General features: G+C 36.3%; 1 protein-coding gene across 16 annotated transcripts in view; it reads right to left on the bottom strand.

The window, feature by feature from the left end:
* OSBPL9 (oxysterol binding protein like 9) overlaps window positions 1-14,871 on the bottom strand; it is a 270,948-nt gene that overhangs the window by 31,588 nt on the left and 224,489 nt on the right. For 7 of the 16 annotated variants that reach the window (NR_036662.2, NM_001416294.1, NM_001416293.1 and 4 more), the window contains 5 exons: window positions 12,001-12,096; window positions 10,875-10,922; window positions 9,234-9,263; window positions 7,437-7,487; window positions 1,274-1,312 (listed from right to left, as the gene is read on the bottom strand). Coding sequence is in view for 14 of the 16 variants with exons in the window: in NM_001416294.1 (NP_001403223.1) it covers window positions 1,274-1,312; window positions 7,437-7,487; window positions 9,234-9,263; window positions 10,875-10,922; window positions 12,001-12,096 (264 nt within the window). In the remaining 2 variants the exon portion in view is untranslated. Of the gene's footprint in view, window positions 1-816; window positions 852-1,273; window positions 1,313-4,906; window positions 5,130-7,436; window positions 7,488-9,233; window positions 9,264-10,874; window positions 10,923-12,000; window positions 12,097-14,871 lie in introns of all 16 variants that reach the window. The other 9 variants (NM_001416295.1, NM_148909.4, NM_148908.4 and 6 more) reach the window with 4 other exon arrangements.

Below are 14,871 nucleotides of genomic sequence, written 5' to 3'. Positions count from 1 at the left end.
TTCTATTAGGTTAAATTTTCTATGAGTATAAACTTTCTAGATGTTTTTCATTGCAAATGATCAAGTGTTTTTGGTATGTTTTATAAAATCCTGCCTGTTTTATTTAACATAATATAACTAATTTGGCTTTGAGGGAAAAGAGATAAAAATAACAGCCAACATGGTTTTCCTTTGGAGTCTTTGGAGACCATAAAATGCTAGACAATACATACAGTCCTTTCCTATGAGGCTAACAATCTTCGATAGTATCTCATGAAGAGATATTATTTCAGTTTGTATTACATTTATATCATACAATTGTATTATATCACCATGGATCATACTTTGAACTGACAAAAATTCTGATATATTTAATTCAAATTCCAAACATGCTTATTTTACTTCTGCTTTCTTAAGAAATACGCAAACACAGATTTAACTTAAAAAAAATTTTTAAACCAAATATAAAGATAACATGCTCATCCTTTCAAGTACAATCAGGAGATGTTTTTGAAAATTTACAGAATGTTTTTCCAGATCTCAGACAAGCTGGCATTTGTAAAGTCTAGGACAAACAAAAAAGCTGCCTCCTGCTTCAGGAATACAGACTAAGGTCACTCAGTTACCATAAAACTAGGGTAAGCACAAACCACAAACCTTCAAACTCTTTTATTTCCATCTGGGAAATACTAACAATACAATTTTCTTCTTTCTTTTTGGAGGGGAAGTTGAATATAAAGGAAAGGTAAAAAGATAAGAGAGAGGAAAGAGTGAGAAGATGGTTATAAGAGAAAGAATTCATGTTGTAAATTGTTCCAACAAAAATGCAGTACATACCACATTAACAATGATGGTTAACACATACACAAAAACTAAAAATAAAAGATAATAGGAACCTATAAATATATTCAAATAGATTAAGGTGTGTTTCAATATTGTACTCCCCCACCCCCACTTTCATCTGAGAAAAATAGAAATTAGACAAGAAATGTGGCACTGAGTTATGCATTATTTAATTGTAAAAGCTGAGTATTCATACCATGATTAACCCTTCAAGTTAATACATGCAAAGTGATTCAATCTGAACCCACACTTAGAAAAATTTTAAGATTGTCATTTCCCCTGCAAATGATTGCTGAAAGAAGGGAGCTTAAAGGAAACTGCAAGAGTCAACAACAAAAAGCAGTGAGTAGTTGGCATTGAAAAATGAGTAGTAATTCAGGCTTCTCCTGATATGACTGGTTATAATGCTCTGCAGAAGTAAAGGGAAACAAAAAGATTACATTAAACTTACTATCATTCCATCTGCGTGCTTCTCCGCATTACTCTGGTCCTTAAGGAAAAATGTTAAAAATATTAACTTCATTCTTACATGTAAGTAACTCCTTGTGTATTTCTCCTACAAGAAAGCTTATTTACTAGGTAAGTAATAATGTTAGAACATGATTTATCTGCCTCCACTAAGATTTTAATTCCATGTGTACATTCTTAGCCAAACACAATTCTAACTCTGGCTACACAACAATCAACACCAACAGCATGGCAATTATTTTTCTATATAGGGATTTAACTAAGTTCATCGTGGAAATATCCTGTAGAACTGTAGTCACATTCAAAATTCCAGGCAAAAGTGATCTCTACATGGATGAACCTTTGAAAACATGATGTTAAGTGAAAGAAGCTAGTCACAAAAGACCACATATTGTAAGATTCAACTTACATGAAGAGTCAAGAATAGACAAATCTAGAGAGAGAAAGTAGATTAATAGTTGCCAAGGGCTGGATGGGGTGAAGAGTAGGAGGCTGTTGGAAGAGAAAGGGAGGCACTGACGCTCCTCAACTTACAATGGAGTTTACCTCCCAATAAACCCATCTTAAGTTGAAAATATTGTTAAGTCAAAGATGCATTTAATTCATCTAACCTACCAAACAGCATAGCTTATCCTAACCTACCTTAAACGTGTTGTAGAACACTTACATTAGCCTACAGTTGGGCAAAAACCATCTCGCAACACAGTACACAGTGCAGAGTTTCAGCTGGCTACCCTTGTGATCGCGTGGCGAACTGGCAGCTGTGGCTTGCTGCCACTGCCCAGTATAGTGAGAGAAGATCATATAGCATTACCAGTAGCCTGGGAAAAAACCAAAACTCAAAATTCAAAGTACAGTTTCTATTGAACGCATATTACTTTTCTGCCATCATGAAGTCAAAGAATCCTAAGTAAAACCATTATTAAGTCAGGGACCATCTATATAGAAAATCTATATAGAAAATATTTGCTTAATAGGTATAGGGTTTCTTTTTGCGGTGATAGAAGTATGCTAAAATTAGATTATGGTGATGGCTGTACAATTTTGTAAATATAACAAAAACCATTGAAATAAACCATTTGTTTATTTATCTCTTTATTGGCCGTCTACCCTAGAGTACAATCTTGGTGAGGACTTTGCTCATCTTACCACTTGTATTAATCTGCTTGGGCTGCCATAACAAAATACCATAGACTGGGTGGCTTAAAGAACATCCATGACTTTGAAGACTTGGTGCAAAAAGAGAAAGAGTCATGCCTGTAATGCCAGCATTTTGGAAGGCCGAGGACGGAGAATCACTTGAAGCCAAGAGTTTGAGACCAGTCTAAGCAACAAAGCAAGACCCTGTCTCTACAAAAAATTTAAAAATTAGTCAGGCACAGTGGTGAGTACCTGTAGTCCCAGCTACTCAGGTGGCTGAGGCAGGAGGATTGCTTGAACCCAGGAGTTTGACGTTGCAGTGAGTTATTTATGATTGTGACACTGCACTCCAGTCTGAGTGACAGAGCAAGACACTATCTCTTAAAAAATGAGAGAGAGAGTAAGAAAGAAGAGAGAGGGAGAATATGAACTATCTCATTAGTAAATTTTTATACTGATTACATGTTGAAATAATATTTTTGGTACACTGGGTTACTAACATACATTATTAAAATTAATCTCACTTGTTTCTTTTTACCTTTCGAAATGTTATAAGAAAATTTTAAAATACATTTATAGCTCTCATATTTTTATTGTATAGCACTGGTCTAGACTTAGGATAATCAACAGGAACTGACAAAATTAAAGCCTCAAATTCTAAGTAATCAACAGTATTTATTTGCATCTATTTTATGCAAGACTATAAAAACTACATAAATCAAATTGATCTGTGTCTACCTTGAAAAATGTTAATAGTCTCTATCTTTGCCTGTAAGAATGACCATTTAAAGTGCCTGATTTTAATTGTATTGAAATACTGTTTTACCGCATGATTTAACTGGTGAAAATCAACCAGAGTTTAAGTTTGTAGCAACTATACCTCAAAACCAAAGCATGTCTAGCATAGCCTTTTTCCCAATTTCAGTGATAATTAAACAATGCAAAAATAGTGTTCTAGTAAATCACAGTCAACCCCCTGGCACATGCCATTCTGACAGGCATTCTGAGTTGTGGTATGTGGTCACATCACCTGACTGTGATACTGGTTAAGTCTCCACCTGCAGGGGCCTCCTAGCTTATCTTCACTCTGTCCTGCCCTACTCCCCTTCTCTCCCCTTACTCCCCAGCTCCACTGCAGTCTCCCAGGAGAAGAACATCAGCTGTCTCCACCAAGGGTAAGGGGAGGGATGTCTTCTGAGATAACAAAGCCCACTTGAAAATTCCACTAACCAGGTGGTCTCAAAACTTTGTTGCACATTAAAACCACCCAGGGGGTTTAAAATAATCCCAATACCCAGGTGATACCCCACACAACAGAATTATAACACAATGTCTAGGGATGGGAGCCAGGAATCAGAACTGATTTCCAAATGACTCCAATATGCAGTAAAGTTTAGGAACCAATACACTAATCATTTAGGCAGGAGAGAATCTACTGGGAATAGGAATTCAAATCAAAGAATCAAAACTGGAAGGAGCTTAAAATTAAAATTTTTACTTACAGCATGCCGCCTCTAAGAAGCTGATACTAATCAGCCCCAAACAAGAAAGGTATCAAATTAGCTATCTTCTCATATCACTGTGGGGTCTCAAATGGCATTATCTCCCTCAAAGTAGTTGATTCTGGTATTTTATTAACCTGCCAGTGAATAAGAGTCTGCCAAAGTGGCTATAACAATTTATATTTCCATCAGTACTCAATGGAAGTTCTCCAACTTTTACCAGATGTGTTACTGTCACTTTAAAATTTGCATCCTTCTTTTTTTAAATTTAATAAACACTTATTTAGAGCTTATTACATGCCAGCTACCAAGAGCATCACAAATAATCATTTAGTCTCACAGCATCAGTAAGAGACAGACATTACTATTATCCCTCTTGTATATGGAATATAAACCAAAGCACAGAAAGGATAAATAAACTTGCTCCAGTGGTGGGGCTTGGATTCAAACTCAGTCTGGGGGCCATAATCCACGCTCTTTAAGACTATGCAAAGTTGACTGTTGTTATTATTTTAAAATCTTTTATCTTAATCATAGATTAACTGATTAAATTTACCTAAAGATTAGTTTATAGGGATGGTCATCACAGCACATCAGAGAGGTGGCTAAGTAAAAAAAATCATACATATAGTGAAAATACTAAACCATGCAACCATTAAAAGTAATGCATTAGAAAAATCACTCAGTAATTCAGTTATTTATCAGGCACCTCCTATATGGTAAGCAACTGTAGGCACTGAGGATACAATGGGGTTATGGACTGAATGTTTGTGTCCCTCCCCAAATTCCTGTGTTGAAGCCCTAACCCCAAAGGTGGCTATATTTGGAGATGAGACCTCTACAGAAGTAACTAAGGTTAAATGGGATCATAAGGGTGGGGCCCTGATTCAATAAGATTAGTGTCCTTGTAAGAAGAGAAACCAAACAGCTTGCTATCTCACACGTGCACGCTCCCTCTCTCTGTGCATACTCACCAAGGAAAGACTATGTGAAGACATGGCTATCTACAGGCCAAGAGAAGGACCCTCATCAGAAACTGAACAGGCCAGAATGTTGATCTTGGACTTCTGGCTTCCAGAACGGTGAGAAAATAAACTTCTGTTCTTTAAGCCACCCAGTCTATGGTATTTTGTTATGGCAGCCCATGCAGACTAATACAAGTGGTAAGACGAGCAAATTCCTCACCAAGATTGTACTCTAGGGTAGACAGTCAATAAAGAGATAAACAAACAAATATATCGTGTAAACTTGACTAGTGATACGAGGCCACGAAGAAAAAGAAACCAGTGGGAGGTATAGGCTATTTTAGATACAGGAGTCAGGAAAAGTCTTTCCAAAGATGTTCCTTGTGGCAGAAATATGAATAAAGTGAGAGAGTGAGCCTAGTGGCAATCTGTGGTAAATGCCCTCCACGTGGAGGGAACAGCAAGTAAAAATCCCTAAAGCCGGGGGCGGGGGTGGAGGGGGGAAGCTTGTCTTGCCTGAGAAAAAGAAATGAGCCAATGTTACTGGAATGGTGTGACCAAGCAAGGGTAGGAGACAGGTAAGAGGGCAGTGAACGTAAGTAGTTTCTATTTCATTCCAAATGAGATGGAAAACATCAGGGGTATTTGAGCAGGCAAGTGACACGGTCTCATTTACATTTAAATTAAGTTTAAAGATACAGAGTCCATATACAGTACAAATATAATTGAGGATTGTATTTGTACATAAGAAGACTTAACAACAATAAAACTTCCTTCTGGAATAAATAAAAGGCCAAATTTCATTTACGTGATCCAAGTTATCCATTGCGAAGAACCCTAAAACGTAGTTTTATTAAGCTGGGCTAACACAGACAGGTAGCAAGTACAAATTACACTAAAAATGTTCTCGATGAGTGGCTAAACAGTGAGCTACTGAAATAGGCTAGGCTGACCTACTGTACAACTATCTAAAGTCCTGAATGATTTTCAGAGATCACCCAAACTGGCTTAAACACTGTATCAGCTCCTCTGCTTCCCCAATCTTCAATAGAAGGCAGTATGTATTCCCTAAAATACCTAGTCACTCAAACAGGGCATGGTGTGGTTTACTGGTTATCTGTAGGTAAGCTTTTGGATAACTATAGGTGCTTCTACTCACCTATGTAATTCCAGAGCCAAGAAAAACTAAAATAAAAACTTTATCTCTTTTGTGCCTCCAATCCTATCTTTCCTTCTGCTTGGCTTTGGAATATACTATGATCTACAACAGGAAATGAAAAATTTAGACACATACATAGGAAATCTAGATATCACTAACATCTAGAAACAGAACATAAGCCCTAAGTTCTGACACTTTAAGTATAATACATTGGGCTGGGTTTGGTAGCTCACGCCTGTAATCCCAGCACTTTGGGAGGCCAGGAGTTCAGACCAGCCTGGGTAACATGGTGAAACCCCCATCTCTACTAAAAATATAAGAATTAGCCAGGCGTGGTGGTGCATGCCTGTAACCTCGCTACTCAGGAGGCTGAGGCACGAGAATCAGTTGCACCCAGGAGGCAGAGGTTGCAGTGAGCTGAGATTGTGCCACTGCACTCCAGCCTGGGCAACAGAGCGAGACTGTCTCAAAAAATAAAAAATATATTTTAAATCAGGCCTCAAAAGAAAATGACATTGCCCCATTTAATTTATAAGCTAAATATCCTTACTATCCAAATGCAAATGGACTGTCCTATGCTATTGTGTCATTAACAACAGTAGGTTAAAAGTCTCTATGATTTGGCAAACAAACATATGCAACTGAAGAAGTAAAAGAGATGAGTAATTATAAACTCATTCAAACAACATTTCTCAACTGGGCTGTGGAGCTGGTCACCCACCCCTTGCTAGCCACTTGCTGGAAATAAAGGGGTGTAGTGAGGTAGAAATAGTTTTAAAAATTCCTATTCTCAAACAATAATATTCTTATTTCAGAAACTCTCAGGCAATAAAATATATATTTAGGTTGAATACACCAAAATTTTTCAGAAAAAGAGACAACATATATGAAATTTTTAACCCACAATAATTCAAAATATATTTTGTTTCATGAATAAGGAAGAATAATTAAAATCCACTAACGTAGTTCACTACCAGAAAAAAATCCGTAAAAATTTAAAAAATATATCTCTATTATATTCTTCATTATGGACAATAACTGTCAGAACTTACTTCTCTATTTTCTAAGAAAAACTTTTTTTGTGGAAGGTTTTGTAAAATATGTCCCTGTTCTAAGCAGTGATAATGGATAAAATGGAAGGAAGGGATGAGTCATTCAAACATGCTCCCCTCCTTCCCAGCTACCAGAAATGACATTACCAGAAACAGTAGCTAAGATAATAGCCAAACACAACAGTTGTTCCATAGAATAAGCTCACAATACAGTTTAATGTAGAAAGGTACTATGTTTCAGATCTGAGTTTTTTTGCTATTAAAGAAAAACGCCATTATAATTTTTGAACTCCATACACAAAGGTAATTGAAAGTAAAATTTACTTACTTTGGCAATCTGCAGCAACACAATGCAGTGTTTAATTGATTCTACCATGCTCTATAAAAACAAAACACTGATTTTAGGATCTTGGCTCAAATAAATGGATATATAATGTTAAAGCTTAAAATATAAAAATCAGTTCAGATGTATAGAGTTTAAGTCTATACTACACAAGAAATATCCTCTTTGGATCTAGTGGGTTCTAGTATGCTGATAATGCCAAATGAAGTTATTCATTAGCAGTTCTATGAATTTTAACGAATGCCACAAATTGTTAATTTATACTAAATAATATCTAATTTTTTTTTCTTTTTTTTTTTTTTTAAGAGACAAGGTCTCACTATGCTGATCACGCTGGATTGCAGTGGCTATTCACAGGCACAATTATAGCACACTGCAGCCTCAAACTCAGAGGCTCAAGCGATCCCCGTCTCAGCCTCCCGAGTAGCTGGCACTACATGCACATGCCACCGTGCTTGGCTCTAAATGGTTTTTCAACACTTCAAACAGAAAGACATACGAATCTGATTAACTTACGAATTCTTACATCAACAGCAAGCAACCCTAAGAAATCTACCTAAGACACTGATAGGCTGGGTATGGTGATTCACACCTGTAATCCCACTGCTTTGGTAGGCCAAGGAAGGAGGATCGCTTGAGGCTAGGAGACCAGCCTAGGCAACATAGCAGAATCCCATCTCTATAAAAAATTAAAATAAAAATTAGCTGTGTGTGGTAGCGTGTGCCTATAGCCCTAGCTACTCAAATGGCTGAAGCAGGAGGATTGTCTGAGCCCAGGAGTTCGAAGCTGCAGTGAGCTATGACTGCACCATTGTACTCCAGCCTGGATGACACAGCAAGACCCTGTTTCTTAAAAAAAAATAAAAAGACTTTGATGGAAGTATGGAGAATAAAGGATCCTGTCAAAACACTGGTGAATCAAATTATTATTTTACCTGTTTTAAAATTTTGAGCAAGGTACACATCTCATAAGTAGCCCATTATATAATGTCAGAAGTCCACTATATCAGAAAACTTGAATTATAATATATTTTAATAAGAAAGAAGCCAGCTGCAGTGGCTCATGCCTATAATCCCATCACTTTTTTTTTTTTTGAGACACAGTTTCGCTCTTGTTGCCCAGGCTGGAGTGCAATGGCACGATCTCAACTCACTGCAACTTCTGCCTCCCCAGTTCAAGCGATTCTCCTGTCTCAGCCTCCAGAGTAGCTAGGATTACAGGCATAAGCCACCACGCCTGGATAATTTTGTATTTTTAGTAGAGATGGGGTTTATCCATGTTGGTCAGTCTGGTCTGGAACTCCCAACCTCAGGTGATCCGCCCACCTCGGCCTCCCAAAGTGCTGGGATTACAGGTGTGAGCCACCGCGCCCGGCCAATCCCACCACTTTTGAAGGCTGAGGCAGGAGGATCGCTTGAGCCCAGGAGTTGAGACCTGGACAACATAGTAAGACCCTGCCTTAAGAATCAAAGAAATTAATTATTTTTTTTAAAATATGAAATAACATATCCACTGTGCGTGGAAGACACCTTTTATCAAGATTTCAAACGAGACCAGAAACAGGTAAATGGTACATGAAGTCAATTTCGATTAAGGGGCTTATTCTATTAGTATTATTTTAAATTCCTTTAAAAAAAAATACAATGCTTAAGCACCCCTGTATAATATTCATAAAAACTAACATCTCAATTGCTGTCATCAATAGTGGCAGCTTAAAATAGAAATAACTTTTTAAAACATTTTCTAATGCAAAGTCAGAATGTATCAAACATATAACTTACATTTGTTGTCTCTTTGAGAGTTTCAATTTTCTGTGAAAAATAATAAGTTTAAACAGAAATAATCAGAAGCACAAAGAAGGACGGTTATTTTTTACTGGCTAGTCATTTAAAGAATTTTACCAAAATGTACTCATTCTAAGTGAGTACAAGCAAGTTGGGAAGGGAGTACTTTTTGTTGTATTTTGTTTTTTATCTAAATCAATTATTTGTATAAAAATTCCAGACTTTTATGAATTATATGTTCTCTTTAATAAAATTCACGTGATTCAATTTAAGGTTTGTAAGAATAATATAAAACATTCTTATTCCTGGCTGGGCACGGTGGCTTGAGCCGGTAATCCCAGCACTTTGGGAGGCCGAGGTGGGCGGATCATGAGGTCAGGAGATCGAGACCATCCTGGCTAACATGGTGAAACCCCACCTCTACTAAAAATACAAAAAATTAGCTGGGCGTGGTGGCAGGCACCTGTAGTCCCACCTACTTGGGAGGCTGAGGCAGGAGAATGGCGTGAACCTGGGAGGCAGAGCTTGCAGTGAGCCGAGATCACGCCACTGCACTCCAGCCTGGGCGACAGAGCAAGATTCCATCTCAAAACAAAACAAAAAACAACAACAAAAAATTCTTATTCCTTACCTGAAAGCAAGTTTTGGCTTTTCTACGAATTTCACTTATTTTAAAATCACATTTATCTTTCCTAAGTTGTTTTAAAACGACATGGGACTAAATCCCAAAACTAAAAATGAAAGGTGAGTTATAACATGAGTTACTATTAACAGGTATAAAAGAGCCAAACGCAAGGCTATACAGTCAACAGAAGAGCAAAAAAAAAAAAAAAAAAAAAAAAGCCAAGGAGAGGAAAAATGTTAATTAGAAAAAAGACAATATGCAAACTACAAAGTAGCTGTCAGAAATGCAAGTGGGGGACAATAGCAGAACCATAATTAAAGCAGTATTTGATTTGTTTCTTCATATATGGCTTTTTATTTATTCTGAACATTCTTGCTGGTTGGTTTATTGGTATCTGAAGTGACCATATGTAACCAACTTTCTACCTTCAACATATGATACATGAAAAGGAAATAACTTACTCCTAGGAATATGATACAGAAAAGGTATTATATTAAAACTCTGGGCTGGGTGTGGTGGCTCACACCTGTAATCCCAGCACTTTGGGAGGTCAAGGTGGGTGGATCACCTGAGGTCAGGAGTTCGAAACCAGCCTGGCCAACATGGTGAAACCCTGTCTCTACTAAAAATACAAAAATTGGCCAGGTGTGGCACATGCCTGTAATCCCAGCTACTTGGGAGGCTGAGACAGGAGAATCATTTTAACCCAGAGGGTGGAGGTTGCAGTGAGCTGAGATCGTGCCAATGCACTCCAGCCTGGGCAACAGAGCAAGACTATCTCAAAACAAAACAAAACCAAAAAAACTCCACAACTCTGTATATTATCCTTTTGTTTAATTATGAAACCATAACAGAAATTTATCAGAAAAGTACCCTTGAGGTCCATATGGCAGTAATATTACACTAGGTCAATAATATTATTATAGTAAGTAAAAACACACTAAGATACTTAGTGTTCTCCAAAAGGCTGAATTTAAAATTTTTAACGTCAAAAGCACGGTTATGGAAGTTACCTTTCTCTGTTCATCTTCTTTGCAGTTTTGAAGCTTGTCATCAAAAAGCTACAAGATTTTAAAAAATGGTTATAGTATCAAGCCACTTTACTATACGATGTACATTCACTAAACACAGAAAAACAAACATTTGTTCTTAAACACATTTTGTCCAGGGATGATTTATATGTTATTTTCAAGACAACATGTATTTTTTTTCGAGCACTCAATCAAAGTCAAATTCTATTGTATGAAATCATTTTAACTGGTCAAGATCAATCACTCTGGAAGAATTATAAGCAAAAGAAAACAGATGACTTTTAAAAAATTAAACTATGAATTCAAACTTGAAGTTTTTTTTCTGCTTTGTTTTCCAAGTTTATCAACAGTCCTTTTCCCAGCACCTCTGCTTTTAATTAATTTTAAGTAGGAACTGAAGGAGACAATTCATTTCAGTAATGATAAAAGAGGTAGAGAAATCACCTCCCCATATTCCATCTCCCTCAAATTAAAAAAGTGTTAGAAATTGAGCCACTAGGCAGGGCACGGTGACTCACACCTGTAATCCCAGCATTTTGGGAGGCCGAGGCAGGCGGATCACAAGGTCAGGAGTTCGAGACCAGCCTGGCCAATATGGCGAAACCCCGTCTCTACTAAAAATACGGGCACCTCTGTAATCCCAGCTACTTAGGAGGCTGAGGCAGAAGAACAATTGCTTGAACCCGGGAGGCGGAGGTTGCAGTGAGCTGAGATCGTGCCACTGCACTCCAGCCTGGGTGACAGAGTGAGACTCTGTCTCAAAAAACAAACAAACAAAAAAAGAAATTGAGCCACTAAAACACAGTTTCATGGAAATTTTAAACAGAATATGAACCAAATCTTGCCTTATTTTTTTCTAATTATGCCTACATATTTACCTTTTTTTTCTTAATGACCAAAAAAGCATTATGTAAATATGCTATTTACCAATATAATTAGAGATAAAGACCTTTGAATAAGTCAGCTAGATCTTTTAAGTCTGCTTTAAAAACTGCTGAAGAACCACATGAGGGCTGTAAATTAACATCAAGTAACTGTTTTTACTCAAAAATCAAGCTCAGTAACATTTTCTATTTATATAAATTTAATATACAAACTAATGCCATACCTTTAATTGTTCAATCAAGATTTGTAGGTAAGCATCAGCTTCTGTAAGTTTCTTATCAAAATCTTGGACACTAGGAACAAATCCTGAATCCAAACCCTAGAGAAAGAGAATTTGCAATAAATCTACCAGAACCCAAGCAAAGTTTAATAGTACAAAAAATACTTTTCCCTTCATACATGAAGACATTTCAATTTTTAAAATACAGTTCTATTTTGACACAAATAATAGGTCTATTTAACAGTTAGGTCTATTTAAACAGTGGTACATCAATCTTCCTCATTAACTTGGAGCACTGCTTCCCTTCTCAGCAGTTACACATGCTGCTGCTCAAATTGGATTTACTCTTCTCTCCAGAATCACTTTCTTATCTCCCCCAAACCCTGTAATTGGCTCCCAGTCACCACTAGAACAACAGTAATTTAACAAAGGAACATAAACAAAACCCACCTAGGTTACTTCTATTTTCCCCTTTTTCATTCAGTTCATTCCTCCCTTCCCTTAATGTTAACTTCATATTCTCACTGTTTAGTTCTCCCATTCCTCAACCCACCCCATGATCTCTGAAGTTTTCCTCCCTCCTCCCCTACTAAAGAAAGAACCTCTAAATTTTCTCCTCTTCTAAGAGGTGGCCCCTCTCTAAGTGAAAGTAACAACACCTGTCCTAATCAAGTTTCCTACTCACTTTCACCCTTGGCATGAACACTACACTTAGACGTGGTATAGATGTTTATTTATTTAGAAGGCCTACTTATTTCTCGGTCTAAAAGTGCAGCATTTGCATGTCCTACTTTTTGCATACGTAAAGAGTTTAAGCTCCAAGAGCATGGGATTCTTATGTTTTAACTTTAGCCAAAAGAAACTTTTGAGTTCTTAATCTTCTCTGACTGCCACATTTTCATGCCCAGTCATCATACTGTTAAGCAGGGGACTGAGGGTTAGGAACTGCTACTGTAAAAATCCCAACCCAACCACAAAATTCTGCACTAAATGGGTAAAATATACTTGATCAACATACCCATCTCACACTTGACTTTCACTTGTCATCTCCTCCCTGCCTTCGCCCAAAGCATGCTGATTATTTTCACATTCTCATTTTAGTAAACTGAAGCCAAAGTTTATTTTATATTACAGCAACACCTGATCTTTGTATACTTTATCATTAAAGCACTTTTACAACCATTATCTCAAAACATCAAATTAAGATGGTATGGTATTATGGAAACAGTAATGGGCTGGCAAATCTGGTTTCTAATTCTAGTGCATTCACTAACACAATATTGTGGCTGTCCAAATCTGGGTTTTCTTGCCAGCCAAATACGGGCATCCTCCTCCTCCTATTATTAGTACAGCAGCTACTACCTCTACTAAAGACAACAACTAATGACACTATCAATTACTACTATTATAGTACTTTTGTTGCTCTTCCCAAACTAAAATTCAAAAATTTGGAACCAAAGAAAAAATAGAATTTTATTAAAAATCTAAGTCCTATTAAGACCATGGGAAAAATCAACTTATCTCATAATTTGTTTTCTTTTTCAAATTCAAAGGCGATAAATGTCTATTTTACATACATATCAAGAAACTGTTTGACAATGAGTATTACAAAGCCCCTTCCCAATGAGATGACATGTACAAAAACAAAAGTTGAAAAAAAAAATCTTAATAAACAATGTATACAAAATCCAGATATATTTATAAAACTGTGTTTAAACTTCTTCATTTTTAAAGATAACCCAAAGAAGTTCCTGTTAGAGACATTTAAAATATACAGTTTGGTGACAAAAGACATAGAAATGGATAAGTACATCATATTTCATAGATATTAGAGTACTGTACTATGAAAGAAATGAGCAACTTATTTCCATGTTACTGTGCCACAGAAAAATCAGGACTGTTTGGCTTGTTTTTTGGTTTTGTTTCACACAGCAATGTAACATGATTATCAATAATTAACTATCAAGACCCAGTTAAAATCAGCTAAATACATTGTTTTTAGTAAATATTTTAAAAGGTTAATGGCATATTCATAAATGAATAAAAAAAGCATCTAAATGAGAGGGGAAAAGTGATCTTTAAGTATTTTCACTCTTCTGAATCCATTTAGAATTAACATTGTAAAAATCTAACTAAAACATCCTTTTTAAACAAATTACCGATTAGATTAAAAATTGTTCAGTGACTGAATGGAAACAGATTTAAATTACTGCTATCTAAACCTTACCTAAATCAATTCTTCAGAAACAACTTTTTGATGTTTGTAGAATCATATAAACCTCACCTTGACTCTCTTCTTACACTTGCCTCTAGATAGTCTTCCATAACCTTCTTTTAACTCTAGAATAAACTTCACACTTCACAAGGTCCAAGCCAAAGATCTACTCATCAATCCATTTTTCTTTAGGTAATGTGTAACAGGAGGTTTATAATGACAGTCCCAGAACTGGCCCAATCACCCTTGCATAGTAATGCAAAAATTTTTCATGTATTTAAAAGGAAAATTTATGTATATAGTTGCCCCATCTGCAACCAATAAAATATCATGTAAAATTCATCGATAACATGAACAAGTAGTTAACAAGTGTTTTCTCAAATCTAGTAAAACTAATACTCTAGAAGAAAGCACAAGTATGACTTTATATTGTGACTTACAGCAGTCACCTAATTCAACCTCCCATTCACAGAAGTTCTTTTCATAACATCTTTGAAAGTCATCTAGTCTTGTCTTAAGTATCTCATGAGATGAGAAACCCACTACTTCCTAATGTAGAATATTTCATTAAAATTCTCCTGAAGTGTTAACTGTTTCTCTTTCCATTCAACATTTAGAACACTAAGCCACAACACTTATTCATATTAATCCTTTTTAAT

The sequence above is a fragment of the Homo sapiens genome, chromosome 1, assembly GCF_000001405.40.
Source record: "Homo sapiens chromosome 1, GRCh38.p14 Primary Assembly".
Lineage (NCBI taxonomy): Eukaryota > Metazoa > Chordata > Mammalia > Primates > Hominidae > Homo > Homo sapiens.
Note: the sequence above shows the minus strand (reverse complement) of the source record. Positions and strands in the feature narration are given on the sequence as shown.